The 16,443-nt window shown below is 48.6% G+C and overlaps 1 protein-coding gene across 3 annotated transcripts in view; it reads left to right on the top strand.

The window, feature by feature from the left end:
- Window positions 1-16,443, top strand: part of PLXNA2 (plexin A2) — a 222,143-nt gene that overhangs the window by 172,483 nt on the left and 33,217 nt on the right. For all 3 annotated transcript variants that reach the window (NM_025179.4, XM_005273164.4, XM_005273165.5), the window contains exon 13: window positions 11,065-11,216. In NM_025179.4, the coding sequence (NP_079455.3) occupies window positions 11,065-11,216 (152 nt within the window). The remainder of the gene's footprint in view (window positions 1-11,064; window positions 11,217-16,443) is intronic.

Here is a 16,443-nt window from a genome sequence, read left to right as displayed (position 1 = left end):
TGCAGGAAAGGCCAAAAGCCACCTGCCCAGGACCAGAGTGACTCACTGCAAAGTCCCCCACAAATAAATAAATAAGTCAGCCAGCTTTCCTGAGAAACAAGCCGGCACTCTGATCTTTCGTTCATTTATTTGCAGGCCTCATTAATATAACATCACTGCAACAAACAGCTAACAGGGGATGGTGTCAGGATGAATAATGGAGTTACTCTGCTGAGATAACAGTTAGGTTTTGAATGTACTATCAGCTAAGACAGAGCCAGCAAGGATTCACGCCGGGCAGGAGAGCTGGCACCGCCAATGCCATAGATTCCTACAGAGCTCGTCAGCTGGGCTCTAGCCTACTGTGAGGAGTGCAGACACAGGCACACACACACAGACACACACACATACACTTCAAGTGGAAAAGAATGCCACAATTTGCTTTCTCAGACCCAGCATCCAGGTGTCTTTAGAAGCCAGGAGGGAATGAAAATGTGCAGCCACGAAGTTGGCATCACTGCCCTGTAAAGTCAAAGGAGTGAGAGGATTAGGAAAGAGAGGAGAAGCTGTCAACACATCCTCGACTTGTCCTCACTCGTTGGTCCTGATTAGGGGGCTCCTCAGGGCAGAACCCTCCTGAAATCCCAATCTCAGACACAAAAGCTTTTAATACAGAGTATGAACATCCGCTGAGGATGCTGATGGGACTGAGACCATTCTGGAGTGGCTTCTTCGGCACCTCTTCTCCTTCTGGGAGGCTCTGACATTAGTTTCTCCTGTATCCTTTTACAAATCCAGTGTTGGGGACTGATCACCTGCTGGAAACCATGGTGAGAGCTGTGCAGGCCCATAGAGGGGCAGCCAATGCCACGCTGGGCAATGTCCCCACCAACCACCTCCCCTCCTCGAGTCAGCCTGCCTGCCCCTGCCCTGAGTCCCCACCAAGAACAATATGCAGAGGCTCCACCTGCACAGGACGCTCGTGAAAACAAAGCTACTTTTCCTTTGGACCTCAGCTAACCCAGCTTCCCTCTGGATTTCTTCATCATAAAACAGTCATGAGAAAAATCATAGCTAACTTTCACTGAATGCTTAGCTTACACTTAGCTCAGCACCCATATATCATCTCATTTCGACCTCAAAGCAACTGTTATGAAATAGAAGTTAGTATTGTCATTAGACCCATTTTACAGATGAGAACACTGAAGCACTATGAGGTCTGATAACTTTCTTGAAGTGACATTGAGAATAAGTTTTAGCACTGAAATTTGACCTGCAGCTAGCTACTTGACTCAAGAGCCCCTGTGTTTGACCAGTGTCAAACCAGTCCTTCATCTCTTTCCTGAGCTCACTTGGACAAATTAGAACTGTCAATCTGCAGAGCCAGAGGAGAGAAAGGAGCTGGCACCTAGCTCTTCCTCAAGCCTGCTGCAGAAATGGGAAGAAAGCCAGTAGTCCCCAATCCCAGCATTGTTTGGGGAGACTAGACATGCACAGGAAGAGACAAAGGGGCAAGGCCAAGAGGGGAGTGTGGATATTGCCTGGGTGAGGTCAGAGAGGAGTGGGGATGGATGCTGAGAAGTTCAGGGAGCCAGAGAGAGCAGGAGTAAAGGCAGTGACCAGCAAGGCCAACTCCAGAGCTCCTTGGAAAGCAGCAAGGCATGGCCTTAGCCATGTCTTAAGTCCTGGCTATGCACTTCTTGATCTGTACATCTTAAGCCTGCTGCAGAGATGGGAAGAAAGGGAAAGGGGCTGGAGTGCCTAAGCAGACAGAAGCGAAGAGCAGGCCAGGGCATGCATTCTCATGGTGGTTGACCAAGGATGGGGGTGTCCCCTGGGGCAGTGCTGTGTAAGGCAAAAAGCAGCGGTTAGATAAACCTGGCTGAGCTCTGCCCCACTCACTGTGGAACCTTCAAGAAGTTACTTAACCTCTCTGGGACACTATTTCTCATCCGAAAAATGGGAATGATAATAACACCTCACAGCTTGTTTTGAGCGCTTAGTGGGATAAAATATGTAAAGCCCCTGGCACAATTCCTTACTCATTATAAGCACTTAACAAACGTGAAAGCAGCAGCCATCATTCTCAGAATCTTCAATACCTTGGAGCTGAAGCCCTGCTTCTGGCTTCTTTCCCGCTATCTCTATCAGCCTGGAGATATAACCAGAGGAAGATAGGGTCTCTAGAACGGGAGCTGGGCTTTGTGAAGCTCCCACCAAGCTCCTCTGCCCCGATAAGCCCCTACTCTGAAGTTGGCCCCAACCCTGCCCTGACAAGGCTCTGCCTGAGGCTGAACCTAGGAACAGCCCACCTGAGCACTCACTCCCCAGGCTGCCAAGCCCCTGGGCCTTCCAGCGCCTCCCCAGTGCAGCCCTTCGCATCTCCCCAGCTGTAATTAATTGGCTGCATCTGCTCTCACCCTTGGGCTGCTTTGTGGCACAGTTCCCTCCAAACTGTTCAATTAGTGGCTGCAAGAATGAGGTCGGGTGCAGCATCACCGCGGCTGCTTTCCAGGTCATGGCACCCACGGAGGAAAACAAACATGACAGGGTCTGGCAGGAATACAGATTTAGCTGTGGTGCCCTGGCGCTCTCCTGGGTTCAGTTGGGCTGTGCAGCTGTCAAGGTGGGGTCTGAGCAGGTGGAGAAGTGACTCCCTAAACCAGAAGTTCCTGGAAGCTTTGAGAGGGCCTCAGCAGAAGATAGGAATCTGCTACTTAGTCCCCTGCCATCGTCATATGTGCTATGACCTAGGCATGCCTGCCTAATCCCACATCCTGCTGACCTAGTCTTCCTGGCTTAAGATGTACAGATCAAGAAGTGCATGGCCAGGACTTAAACTAGCCACCTTTATACCTGGGCGTGGTCACTGACTGCTCCTGGGGCAGGGTTTAGGGCTGCTAGCCTGAGCTCTCTACCCTAAAGTGTTTCCCTTGTTTTCCTTCTGAATCCTGCAAACGATATACACACTTTTTATTCTACAACCAGTCAATAGATATCAGTGCTCTTAAGGCCAAGTAATAACACAACTTAAAAGTCCCATTAAGACGCAAATACAGCTTTCCGTACTTGCTGTATACAAATACAGAAAGGGAGGAGGGAACAGCTGAATGAAAGGTGCCTAAAGTGGGGGAAAGAACCCCAGGGAGGAAAACACAAAAGAACATGGGAAAGATACCAAATGTTTATCCTCCACTGGGTTTTGCCCAGGGCCAGCCTGGTTAATGGCGTGTGTGACAAGCAAAGGAAGTCATCTTCGCAGGCCCTCCTTACTGCACATCAATCAATCAGGCCTTTGCTGAAGGCACGACCCGAGTGCGGGTCACTACACTCTCAAAAGATGCATAGAAATCCGAGAGTCCACAGAAAAGCATCCAAAATGATCAAAGGGTTTAGAAACCAAGATCTTCGGTGAAAAGGCTGGAAGGACTGCAGAAGCAAAGGCCAGGGGTGACTTAATTGCTGTCTTCAGTAGCTAAAAGATGTTTGATGAGGAGGCAGCTGTTCAGTCCTCCATTCGATGAGGAATCAAACCAGAAATTGGCTTAAATTAAAGCAAGGGAGATTGCAGGAAGAGCTGTTTAATGATCCTGATGTTAAAATACTACATCACTCTCAAGCAACAGTTAGGTACCTCCACTCATCCAGTCATCATTAAAGAATACAGTCTGTTCTAGTGTCTGGTTGAGACCAGCATTTCCTTTTAACAGAGAATTGGGGATATTTATTGACAGTTACTCGTTCCAGGCAGCGTGCTAAGGATTAGTTTCCTAAGAAAAGCTAGATAGTCCCTTGTCCCAAGATAGTTATCGTCTTATTGAGGGAATAAGCAGTTACAATGCAGTGTGGCAATTGTGGTCCTGGAGGTGTTCATAGAAGGAAGTGGGAGGGTAGAAGAAGGGGCTAGTAAATCTACTAAGGGAGTCCAGGGAGGCCTCCCTGAGGAGGCATCTTTTGAGTAGAGACTTGAGGATGGGTAGGCATTTGTCAGTGGACATGCTTGACCAGCACAGGGAACAGCATGTCAAATGCATAGAGGCTTTACACCCTATAAAGCTATAGCTGTGGGGGCCCTTGAGCTCTCCCAGCGAGCACATGTACAGTCATGCATCGCTTAACCATGGGGATACATTCTGACAAATGTGTCATTAGACGATTTCATCCTTGTGTGAACATCATGGCATGTATTTACACAAACCTAGACAGTGTACCCTACTACACACCTAGGCTGCAAACCTGTACTGCATGTGACTGGTCCTGAACACCATGGGCGATTGTAACACAATGGTAAGTACTTGTGTATCTAAACATAAAAATGGGATGGTAAAAATATGATATAAAAGATTAAAAATGGTACGCCATATAGGGTATTTACCATGAATGGAGCTTGCAGGACTGGAAGTTGCTCTGGGTGAGTTCAGTGAGTGGTGAGTGAATGTGAAGGCCTAGGACGTTACTGTACACTACCATAGACTATAAACACAGTATGCACTTAGGCTACACTAAATTCATTAAAAAATTGTTTCCTTCTTTAATTATAAATTAACCTTAGTTATTATAACTTTTTTTTTTTTTTTTGAGACGGAGTTCCACTCTTGTTGCCCAAGCTGGAGTGCAATGGTGCGATCTCGGCTCACTGCAACCTCTGTCTCCCGGCTTCAAGTGATTCTCCTGCCTCAGCCTCCCGAGTAGCTGGGATTACAGGCATGCAACACCAAGCCTGGCTAATTTTGGATTTTTAATAGAGACAGCGTTTCCCCATGTTGCTCAGGCTGGTCTCAAACTCCCGAACTCAGGTGATCCGCCTGCCTCGGCCTCCCAAAGTGCTGGGATTACAGGCATGAGCCACTGCGCCCGGCCAGTTACTATAACTTTTTACTTTATAGACTTAATTTTTTAACCTTTTGACTCTTTGTAATAACACTTACCTTAAAACACATACATTGTACAGCTGTACAAAAATATTTTCTTTCTTTATATCCTTATTCTATAATATTTTTTCTATTTTTGAAATTCACTTTTTTACTTTTTAAATTTGTTTTGTTAAAGACTAAGACACAAAGACACACATCAGCCTAGGCCTACCCAGGGTCAGGATCATCCATATCACTGTCTTCCACCTCCTTATCTTGTCCCACTGTGAGGTCTTCAGGGGCAATAGCATGCATAGAGCTGTCGTCTCCTATGATGACAATGCCTTCTTCTGGAATCCCTCCTGAAGGTCCTCCCTGAGGCTGTTTTCCAGTTAGCTTTTTTTAAATAAGTAGAAGGAGTACACTCTAAAATAACAATAAAAAATATAGTGAGTACATAAACCAATAACCTAGTCATTTAGCATCATTATCAAGTATTATGTGCTGTACATAATTGTATATGCTAGGCTTTCCTATGACTTATGACTGCCACAATGCCACAAGGTGGTAGGAATTTTTCAGCTCCATTATGATCTTAAAGAACCATCGTCGTATATATGGTCCGTCATTGACCAAAACGTCAATATGCAGCACAAGACTGTAGTCCATAAGAGGACAGGGCCAGGACTCTGGGGGTCCCAAGTGTGAGGGGCGGGCAGAGGAGGGGCACACAGGCAGTGCCAGCACAGCACAGAGGGGAAAGCCTCAGTGACCCCTTTCGCCCCAACCCAACAGCAGCAGGCTGCTTCTAGGATATTCTTTCTCCAATCCCCTCCTTCTAGCTCTCACTTCTGAGGTCCACATGGGGAGAATTCAGATAGACTTCTAGTCCACAGTATAATATGGGGAGAAAAGCTTGGGGCTGAAATGAGTCAGTATCCAAAGATCTTCCCTGCTGATTTGACAGGTTTCACTTCCCTTCCCTCTCTCTCCACATCCCCACCACACACACACTCACTCACACACACACACACATACACCCCCCAAACTGTCAAATCATTTGTTTGTGTGGGTGTCTCATTCAGAAGTACTTCCCTGAAAGCATTAATTGAGTTCATTGTGGAATGCTGCACCTACCCCAGAATGGCTGATAGCCAGGGAAAGAAGAAATGGCCACAAGGGAGGGAGGAAAGAATAAAGAACATCTTGTACAGGGCCAGTGTTCTTCCAAACTTATTTTGGGTGAAAGGATGATGTCTCGCTCTGAATCTGCTTCTGTGCAGGGCCCAGAACTCACCAAAGCCAGGGCCCTGCTCTGGCGGCATCACTACTCCCTGCCCAAGCTCAGGCTTCGGGCATTCTCCAAACGGCCCATGAGCAGCTCTTTGTACCCCGGGTCACCCCAGTGTCTGTGATGCGCTCCCTCATCCATGTGCTGCCCTTCCAGACGGATAGGAAGACTTCCATCATCTCTAACCCTGCCAATTCTAACATCCCATGTTTTAGTCATCTAGGAAGACAGAGGTGCAGGGAAACACAGGGAAGGAGATTACCAATTATCAAGACCTACTCTCTAAACCAGCATACTAAGAACTCTCCAGATGTTATCTCACTTAATCTTCACATCATCCCTGTGAGGCAAGCATTATTATCTGTTTTTGAATGAGGATATTGAGATTCAAGGTCACATAACTTGTAGGTGTCAGAGCTGGTATTTAAATTCAGGTCTGTCTGATTCCAGAGGTTACTCTCTTCCTTCTGCAGACACTGTCCCAGCATCAGATGGTCTTTCTTCCCTATCCGACTGTAGCCAGCAGCATAGAGCTATCTGAAACTGACCAAGACATGGATCTGCCTAACATGCTGGCCATACTTTGGTTTCCCTTCTGTCATTGGGGCACTCTGTATGACTCCACCGCAGCCTCTCATCCTCACCTCTGTGGGAGACAAGCTCTCCCCTCCCCTGCAGCCTCTCAGCTCCTTCCAGATCTAGAAGGACTTGCTTAAAGTCCTGCAAGCAGTAGCTGGGGATTCAGCCAAATTGCCCCTCTATAGATCCATGTAGAAAGGCCAGACTTGGCTTCCAGGAGAGCCAACTTTGTGGAATGCAACCCTGGGTGCCCTGCAATCAAAAGCTGCTTTTAAGAGAGAGCCCTGGGGACACAGTCTCTGTGTGTGTTGGGCGGGGCTGGTGGGGGTCGGGGGATTGGGACCCTGCAGCTTCCTGGTCTAAGGTGGTGTCCTGCAAGATCCTGCTCACTCCCGCTCTGGAGAAGAAATTCTTTGTCACCAAGCCTCCCCTCCCTGGCCATCTCCGAATCCTTGATCCTAAGAAGAAATACAGAAGGCAGGATGCAGGGTCCTTGCTTCCCGGGCCCAACACAGAGATGGCATGGCCCTTAGACTCATTCTCAGCTGCCTGGAAGGCTTACAGAAGCTGCCTTCTACAGGGTGCCTCTCTCTGTTCCTTTGCACTCTGCACACAGACCTCCACCTTGAGCCACTCTGATTTTTAAGCTGGAGGTGAATGGGTAACATGTCCAAAGGCTCAGGGATTTTTAAACAGCGTGATGTAGAAAGGAACCACCGATAGGGCAGGGCATGAAGGATGTGCTATTGAATGGAAAGTGTGGCAGAAGGGGTAAAAGGGATCAGAACCAGAAAGACCACACCTGCCAGGCCAGCCTTAGGAATTAGGGACTTTGCCTTGGCAATGGTCAGAGCCATGGAAGGTTTTTAGAGCAAGTGACTAGTAACCTGGTCAAGTATGTGTTCATGAAGGTCACCCTGGCAGCTACTGGAAAGTAGATTTACATGCAAACCCTTGGGGTTAGTGTGGGTAGGAGATGATGGAGTCCTCCTGAACACCTACTCTGGAACACATGGACTCAAAAGACACCTGGGAGTGAGAACTGATAGGGCCTGGCGACCTTCTTTATTATTTGTGGTAGATGGGAGAAAGAAACAGTTGAAGGTGCTTACAGAATTCCTGGCTGGGTGCATGGTGAGTCCATTAACCTTGAAAGAGGATCTGGGAGGGTAATTGGCTTGGGGGTGGGAGGAGGAAAAATTAAGAGTTCGTTTTTAGACGTGGTGAAATGTGAGGCGCCTGAGGGAGATACATGGGGAAGTGGAGATGCCCAGTAGCAATTGGATATATGGCTGTGGAGCTCAGGAGAGGGGCCTGCGCCAACCTTATGGATTTGGAAGTCATCAGTAATGGAGGCGTTGGGAATCCACTTGCAAATCAAATAATCACCACTTCATCTATGTTTTGGAAATTCAGGCTTTTACACGTCAGTTTTGCTTTAAGCAAGGAAGCTATAAGCTGTGTCTCCTGTAAGCCCCAGAGCATGATAGTTGCTTAGTTGTCTCCTGAACTCCCTTGCCACCTACCCTGGGTGCTGGCAGCATGGTACACTGCATAGAAAGAAGACCCCCATAAAGACCCTACACTCCCCAGACACTTTCCAAGCCCTGTGGACCTGGTTTAATGACCCACAAGGACACTCATTCTCCCGGCTTGGATTCCCCCAGCTGCTAGCTGGAACTACCCATCTCACTTGTATCTTCATGCCAAGATTATAATGCTTGCCAATAATTTACCCAAAAAAAGTCTTCTTCTCTAAACAATATAAGCTGAATTATGCCTCTGAGCAGCTCTGTGCTAACAAATAGACCCTACAGCACCCCAGTGCCCACGACCATGTGTCTGCCACTGATCCTTGAATGTTGGAAGGGAAACACTACAGTGATTTACCAGCAGGAGGAAGCTACCCCGTGGAACCTGCCAGTGCCTCTGAGGATCCACAATGCGGTCCCCACATGCTACCTGCAAGACAGAAATATTTTTAGGCTTTCCAGAAAGATTTCATTTCACAGTTTTTCTGAAAGGTTGTAATTAACTGCAGCGAGCAAAAGAATGTTTTTTAAGAAATAAAAGTAGGGGAAGGAGAGGTTTTGTCAGTTCCTTTGGGTAGGTGGGTTCATGCCATCCAGGTGGCTAGGGAAGGGGATGGAGGGGCTGGTGAAGCTCATTCCAAGTGGATTAAAAGAGAACCAGGAACTAAAAGCAAATTGTCTCCTGCTGATGCTCTCCTGCAGCAGGTAAGGAAGCAGCCCTTTCCATTTCTCATTAACAAGGGTTCTTTTCCCAGAGCCCAGGAGTCCCAGGTCCCTGAGGAAACTGTGCCAGGGGAGACTGGAACAGCCAGGGTGGATTATTGTTGCATATTTTTAGAGTGCAGGGACAGATGAGCTATAGTGGCTGTCAGTTCCTCCTGCCAGCTCCTTCCTCTCCAAGTTGTCCTTCCTTCTCCCACCCTCACCCCCAGCATACAGAGACACCTCTGAGCCCCCTTGACTATATCTCCCTTGATTCATTTCATGTGTGCTGTTTATTTTTATTCATAAGGGGGATATTTTATTTTCAGACAAGGGAGTCAGAGCCATAGACAAGGTGACTTGGATAAAATAAGCCTCCAGATAAGAGCATTCAGGGCCTGGATGGGACAGAGGGAAGGAGGCAGCACCATCTTTGGCCTACGGAGGATAGACAGGCAGGAGGTCTGGGTTCAAGTCCCGGCTCTGCAGCCAACTTGCCGAGAGACCGGGAGTCTGAACAGCATATCAGCTGGGCAGTGAGGGAAGGAGGCATCTTTTCTCTGCTCACTATCACTTGGTGGTTGGTGGCTGAATTGGCAGCACAATTCATGGTGCCCACATCACAGGAAGGGAGCAGTGCACCTGCCGAGAAGCCAGGAGATAAGAAGGGTCTCCAGATCACTCTACAGCATGCTCACCTGTACTCATCCATCATCTCCACCTGAGGGTACGCTGACCCTCCCACCCCATCGGACACTCCACCAGCACATACAGGGTCAAGAGGGAGACTGTCCAGAAGTGTCCAAAAACAGAGAGGCTGTGGCTCTGCCCAGGTATCCTCTTCTGGGAGATTCTAGAGGACGCTCGATCTTCATCAAGTCCCCTTTTTTTTTGCTCCTTCCTTCATCCATCCTGCCCTCCCTATGGTGTAGTAAAAAGAACACTGGACCTTTTTACAACTGTGTATACAAGTTGTTCAAAGCTTTGGATATATCCCTGACTTCTCTGGGTCTCATTCGTCTTGCTGTAAAAAGTAAGTATCTTAGAATAAGATACTCTCAGATCCCTTCCAGTTACGAAATTCTGTGTTCCTCTGCTATCTAGGATTGAGTTCACTTCGAGTTATTTTTCCTACTTCAGATAACTATTGGCCACAAAGTGTGAACTTACTCACTGGGATCTGTTGGATCCCAAAGAGCTACATTTTTCCAAGAGCCTGGTCTGTTCCCAGATAGAACTTTATTACATCTTGAGAGACCTGGATTCTGCTATTCTGTTTCCAGTGTTTGGGGTCTGAATTAAGGAATGAATAAATAAGCAATCCTTGCCAACAGGAAGCCAGCAAAGATTTGGAAAATCCTAAAGTTATTTCTTCTTTGTCCTAGCATGTGTCATAGGATGTTTTTTGCAGAACAGTGTCAAGTGCACTTTCCATCTTTGATCTTCTCCCCTGCAGCCACACCTAGTCTCTACTCCCCACACTCCCACTGCTTTCCCTCTGTATCTCTTATCCGTGTATACCCCAAATCAGTGGTATTCATGAACTGCCTTTATCTCATCCTCGACTCTAAGTTTCTTGAGGCCAAATTTCCTGTCATATTCATCATTGTACCCCCAACAGGCTGTAGCACACAGCAGGGGCAATAATAACACTGTCACAATTACAAAGCCCTCTGGTTTCCAAAGTGCTCTCAAGCACACCTTCTGTTTGGTGCTTCCAGACTCCCTTTGAGGTTGGCAGAAATGATTATACCCCCTTCACAACTAAGAAAGCTGAAGTTCAGAGAGATTACGTGACTGATCGCAATCAGGCAACTAGTGAATTAGAGACATGTCTCAAACCATGGTTTTCTGCCTTGAGTCTAGTATTCTTTCTGATAATTTTTTAAATAAGTAGATGAATGAATGACTGACTTAAAGAACCGAGGAAGCAGTGTAAAACAGAACATGATGTCAAGATCCGAGATAAGCTAAAAAGTGGACAAAACGCACTCACTCACCAGAATTCCTGGTGGAGGAATTTAAGAACCTATGGAGGTTCTTAAACCTCCCTGGGGGAGGGGGAAGGGTGCTGCTGTTTCTGTTCCTGTGACCAAACCAAATTGCTAATCCCATTTCCCTCCTGCAGATTTTGACGGTGTCTGGACCGCCGGAAGGAGGGACGCGAGTGACCATCCATGGCGTGAACCTGGGTCTGGACTTCTCCGAGATCGCCCACCATGTGCAGGTGGCTGGGGTGCCCTGCACGCCCCTCCCAGGGGAATACATCATCGCTGAGCAGTGAGTCCGCCCTGGCCAGCCCTTTTCCCATGGGAGCTTCAGAGTGGAGACTGGAGACTCTCCCCTCTCCCTTCCTGGGCCTTTTCCATGATTGATCTCCCATTACATTCTCCTCCCATGGACCTGCCCCAGAAGCCTCCCCAGGGCCCCCTCCTCCCTCACCTCCACCCTCAGGGGGTCTCATCCTGTTTGATTCCCTGTTCCCTGACTCTTCTGGCATCAGGGCTCCGGCCCTGACCGTCCCTCATTCAGTCTTTGCCTGCCCGCCAGTGTGACTGAGCATTTCCTCCTAGGTCTCCCCCAGCCCTTCCCCTGTCAGCCCCCATTGGAATGCATCCTGTATGGTGGGCTGCAGGCAACAATTTGTTTGGTGCGTGGGGCTCTGACAGCAGCTTAATCCGAGCAGGGCCTCCGCTGGAGCAAATTCATTTATTTCACTAAGGGAAATGTCAGCTGGAAATTAGAAAATAGGCATGTAGTTGCGGACAGGCAAACGGGGCTCCAGGAGTGACATATGTTCCAATTTGGGGTGTTCATTTGGCAGTGGTGGCTGCTGTGGAGTTGGTGGGCAGGAGGTGGGCACGAAGCTGGGGGTCAGAGGATGGAAAAAGGGAGGCTACCCCTCCAAAGGAGAAAGCGGGGGAGCAGCCAAATCATTCTGCATGATTTATCAGGGAAGTTGGGTCAAACCATTCTGATTCCACTGTGAACACAGCTCTGCAGGGGGTACTGGGAGCATGAGCAAGAGCATGACTTTGGGGCAGGGACTTCCTTCCCTTATCCTAACCCTCTGCCAGGTCAGGTTGTTTCCTCTGATCCCCCCCACCGGAGCCAGCCTTTAGTGGCAACCATAAAAATGACATCGCTTTATCTTCCATCAGCACTTTGCAGTTAACAGAGCACTTTCTCATCCACTATCTCATTTTTAATTGGTAAGGACTCTGAGAGGTAAATATTGTTATCATCATTCTGCAAAGCAGGAGAGAGCAAAGGACTCATGAGAAGTGAAATGACTTTCCCCAGTTCATTCAGGGCATAAGTGGCTGAGGCAGAATTAGACCTTGAGTCTCCTGACCCCTAATGCAGGGCTACTTCCCTTCCATAACAGTGATGGGGCACGACTCCTGGACAGGAGCAGTCTGAAATTCCACGAATCAGTGTGTAGCTCTGAGGCTTACAGGCCGTGATTCTCGCAGGGCCCAGAGAAGGGTCAGAGTCCAAAGGGGTGAATTCCCAGACTCTGAGGGCTGTGTGATGCCTGCCAGCCACAGCAGGGAGAAGAAAGAGCTGGCCTGATCTCTCAGATCCTTCAGGTCTGATCCTTCAATGACAGCCTTATTCCTGCAAGGAATGAGTCCTGGAGGAAAGGCTGGCTGGGCCTATAGGACAGAGATGAGGAAGATGGAAAAAGGGAAAGGAAACAAATAGTGCTTCTGAGCCAAAAAAGAGGTGAAAGCTGTTGTGGCAGGAGCCAGGGCACCCACAGAGGTCCTCCTGGCAGACCATCTTTACAGAGCCCCGCACCCTGCCAGACTAGGCAAGGTGCTCAGTTACACGACCCCAAATCCACCTCAACCTCAAGGACCTCCCTTGGGCCCCTGGACACAGACCTGTATCCAACTTGGTGAGATGCCACAGGAATCCAAAGGAAAGGGCTAGGGTATGGGGTGAGGGTGGGAGGTAAGGCTTTTAGCTGAGAAGTGCAAATTCCTGGGCAACTGGCCCTCAGAATCACATGAGGTTTGGAATGAAACCGTGTTTTAGACCTGCCTCCTCTACTGACCAGCCCCAAGACCTTAGCAAGCTGTTCAGTCTCTGTGACCTTCATTAGCCTAATGTGCTGCCCAAATGTAAGGAATTTCAGTGCTATTTATGAAAGGAAATGTACTGCACTCACCCCACACCCAGGGCCACGGGGAAGAAAGTGTCGAGAGAAGCTGCACGTGAGGCTGTGAAAGGAGCCTGGGGAGGGGAACAATCCCCATGCATTCCTGCAGAGGCTGGTGGTCGCCCCAGAAAACCACCACTTCAGGTATGGGGTAGGCAGAAGACAGAGAGCACACCCCATGCCTCGCTGGATGCAGCCCTGGTTTCCAGCTGTGCCAGGCTCATTACCACTCCCGAGGTTTCAGAGTTTGCTAACATCATTAAAGCCTCCATCCCGGGCAGTGAGCAGCAGGCACAATCGTTACAGATGTCTGTGAGAGATGAATTTGGCTAAAAGGACCCGGTGCAGAGTCCTGGGCGCGGGCAGGATTCGCCAGCACGGTAATGATTCACCATATGCTTGTGCTGCGCCATCTATCACTCAGCAATTAGGTTAATGTCGGTTAAAGGGCCCCGCTTAGTCCTGCAATCAGCACCCCACAGGTCTGTGGAGGGCTGGATGATTCAGTCACAGGAAGTTTCCTGGACCATGGGATGCATGTTGAGGCTGCAGCTCAGCCCCTCCTGGGACAGGGGCTCCACATGGAGCAGATTCCCCTTAGATCCTCAGGCTGCTTCCCTCTCATCTGCTGTACCTGTGAACTCAGCCATTGCGGGATGGATGTGAGATGTGTGTGTGCTTCCGCCCCAGGGAGCGAGGCACCATCTATGCAAGTCTATGGGAGGTGGTGTAGTGTGGGGCAAGGGTACTGGGTTGCATTCCAGGAGACTGGTGCTCAAGCCTTAGCTCAGCTGTGGATGAACCAGGTGACTTTGAGCAAGTCACTTTGCTCCCTGCTTCTCAAACATCTCATCTGGAAAACAGGTATTTAGGAATAGATGATTTCTACATTTGCTTTGGTGGTCCTCTAGATGTCCAAACCAGTAAATGGTATGCCCCATGGAATCTGCAGCTCCCATTGTAAAGATTATCTGTGGCACTAAGGTGCCTCCGGAAGCCCCCTGCCACCAGGAGGAGTCAGGTCTTCAGATGTCAAAGCTGGATGGCTGTTTGGTCCAACTTCCCATTTTATAAGGAGAGAATCTAGGCATCTCCAGCGATTGTCTCCTAACAATACATAGGGACCCCAGAGCCACCAGAGACACAGGGAGGAGACAGGGAAGACAAGAGGCCTCAAGAAATCAAACCACAAGAAATCAACCAACCTTGCTGACTTGCAAGGCTTGAAGGAGGTGGTGGTGCACACACCACTGCCTATGGTTGTCTACAACCAAGAAGGTAGAGGGGACAAGTGGTTAGCTCTCAGAACCTGAGGAACCCAGCTCAGCCTTTCTCACCACCCCTGCCAACAACCTCACCTCTACCATTGCTGCCATATCCATACTGTCCCTTCCTTGAAAGACATACAGAGCATCCCATTAAATCTATTGGCAGTAGAGGGGAGTGGTCAGAAGCATGAGCTCTGGAGTCGAGCTGACCTGGATTTGAATCAGGGCTCTGCCACTTACCAGAATTGTGGCCATAGATAAGTCACTTAGCATCCCTGAGCCTTAGTTTCATTGTCTGTACAATGGAGATAAGACCCGCTCTGTAGCAGAGCCTGAGGATGGCATGAGATCCTGTCTTGTAGAGTGCCTGGCAGAATCAGTAAACTGTAGTTCTTATTATTATTAAGGGCTAGAATTTGCTTTGGCATAATACTCCTTCCTCAATATAACCCTTTCCACTCCCTGCAGCTGCCCTAGCTTCTTCCTTTAACTCCCTATCTTCCTGAACTCAAAGAACAAGTGCCTGCAACAAATATTTTCAAGCCCTTTCCACCCTGGCCTGCAGGCACTGGGTCCCAGGAATGAAAGGGAAGAAGAGTTGAGGAGATTAGAGTTTGTCTGCAATGCTGCCTGATTTTCTTAGGACTCTCCAGTTCTTAGATCTTCCTGCCCAGACCCTTTTCTACAACCCACTGCTGACCACAGCCCTCTGCCCACTCATTCCACAGCTGAGAAGGGGGCTCGGCTGATGCCCGAGGAAAGAGACCTATGGCCAGCTCTGATTTCTCCCCAGTGCAGCCCCTGGACCCCTGCATCCTGCCTTTCCAACTACAGGTGCCCTTCCTTGCACACTTGAGTGGCATCCATCTCTCAGTCATCACTCTTCTCCTAGGTGCTTGAATATACTGCTTTTCTTTTGAAACATGAGCCCCAAGCAGGAAAATGTCCTAGAAGAGACAGTGTGCCAAGAGGCCCTGGCCCATCATTAGCTCCACACAGGGGCAGCTGACCAGGGCTGTTCCAGGCCTTCTCCTTTCCTACACAGACCCAGGGCCCAGGGAAGAACATTTCCATGCTGCCCGTGACCTTCACATGTTCTCTTTTTTCTTTTTTCCTTAACTTCAAGCCTGTGATGATTTCTTCCTCCTTTTCTTCTCTAAGATCACTCCAGCAGAGTGTCCGAGGGTGATGACTGAGTAACAAGCACACCCTCATTAGAAGAGAGGGAGAGAAACTTACCTACTCCCTCCTGTTCTCTTCCTTTGTCTTCCCCAGCACTGCCCACAATAGCTAGTTGATTCTCCCCTGGAGCTCCTTGAGCATGGTGGGCATCGTTTGCAGGATGTCAGGGACCTGAAACAGCAGCGGGTTGCCAGGGTCCGGGAAACAGGATGAGAGAGTCGTTAACCACACGCAGGTAGCAGCATGAAGATAACCACACAGTACCTTAAATTGAGCTTCTCGAATGCTCCCCTAATGGGGTTTCAGGAGACAGTTACGTGTAAAATATTAATTGATCATCACTATCATGTTTCCTTGGGTTTATAATTAATTGATTGATTCATAGAGAAAGGGAAGAGAGACTATTCTTCCATATGCGTTCAGTACTTTCTTGTTGAATCTAATATGCTAAAACGTAATAAGACAGTTATTGCATGTTAAGTAAATATTCGCTAGGAGTGAAAGTAGTTATTTGGGATTAACTGTTATGAAGGAGATGGAGATCAGTGGCGTGCCATGTGTGTGAGCATGCAGCGTATTTGTTTAATGCAAGTTTTATTACATCGAAATGAAATCTCTGTTTAGTTACCTTCCTTCCTAGAGAAGCTGTTGAGATAAGCATCGCTCGGTTAAACACGGATCTTCCCCACCGTGCCAGGATAATGCTGGGGATTAGTGGAGATGGGGTCTGTTTTTCTGACTCCCCACTAAGCAAACCTACCAGGAGCACCAGACTGCTCTGAATCTCCGAAATGATGTTGGGAGGAAAGGAAAAATCCTTCCCTCCATTCCCAAGCTCTTTTTAGCTGAGCTGTCAGGGCCCTCTCCCACCCAGCCCAGGCCCGACCAT

The sequence above is a fragment of the Homo sapiens genome, chromosome 1, assembly GCF_000001405.40.
Source record: "Homo sapiens chromosome 1, GRCh38.p14 Primary Assembly".
NCBI classification, from domain to species: Eukaryota; Metazoa; Chordata; class Mammalia; order Primates; family Hominidae; genus Homo; species Homo sapiens.
Note: the sequence above shows the minus strand (reverse complement) of the source record. Positions and strands in the feature narration are given on the sequence as shown.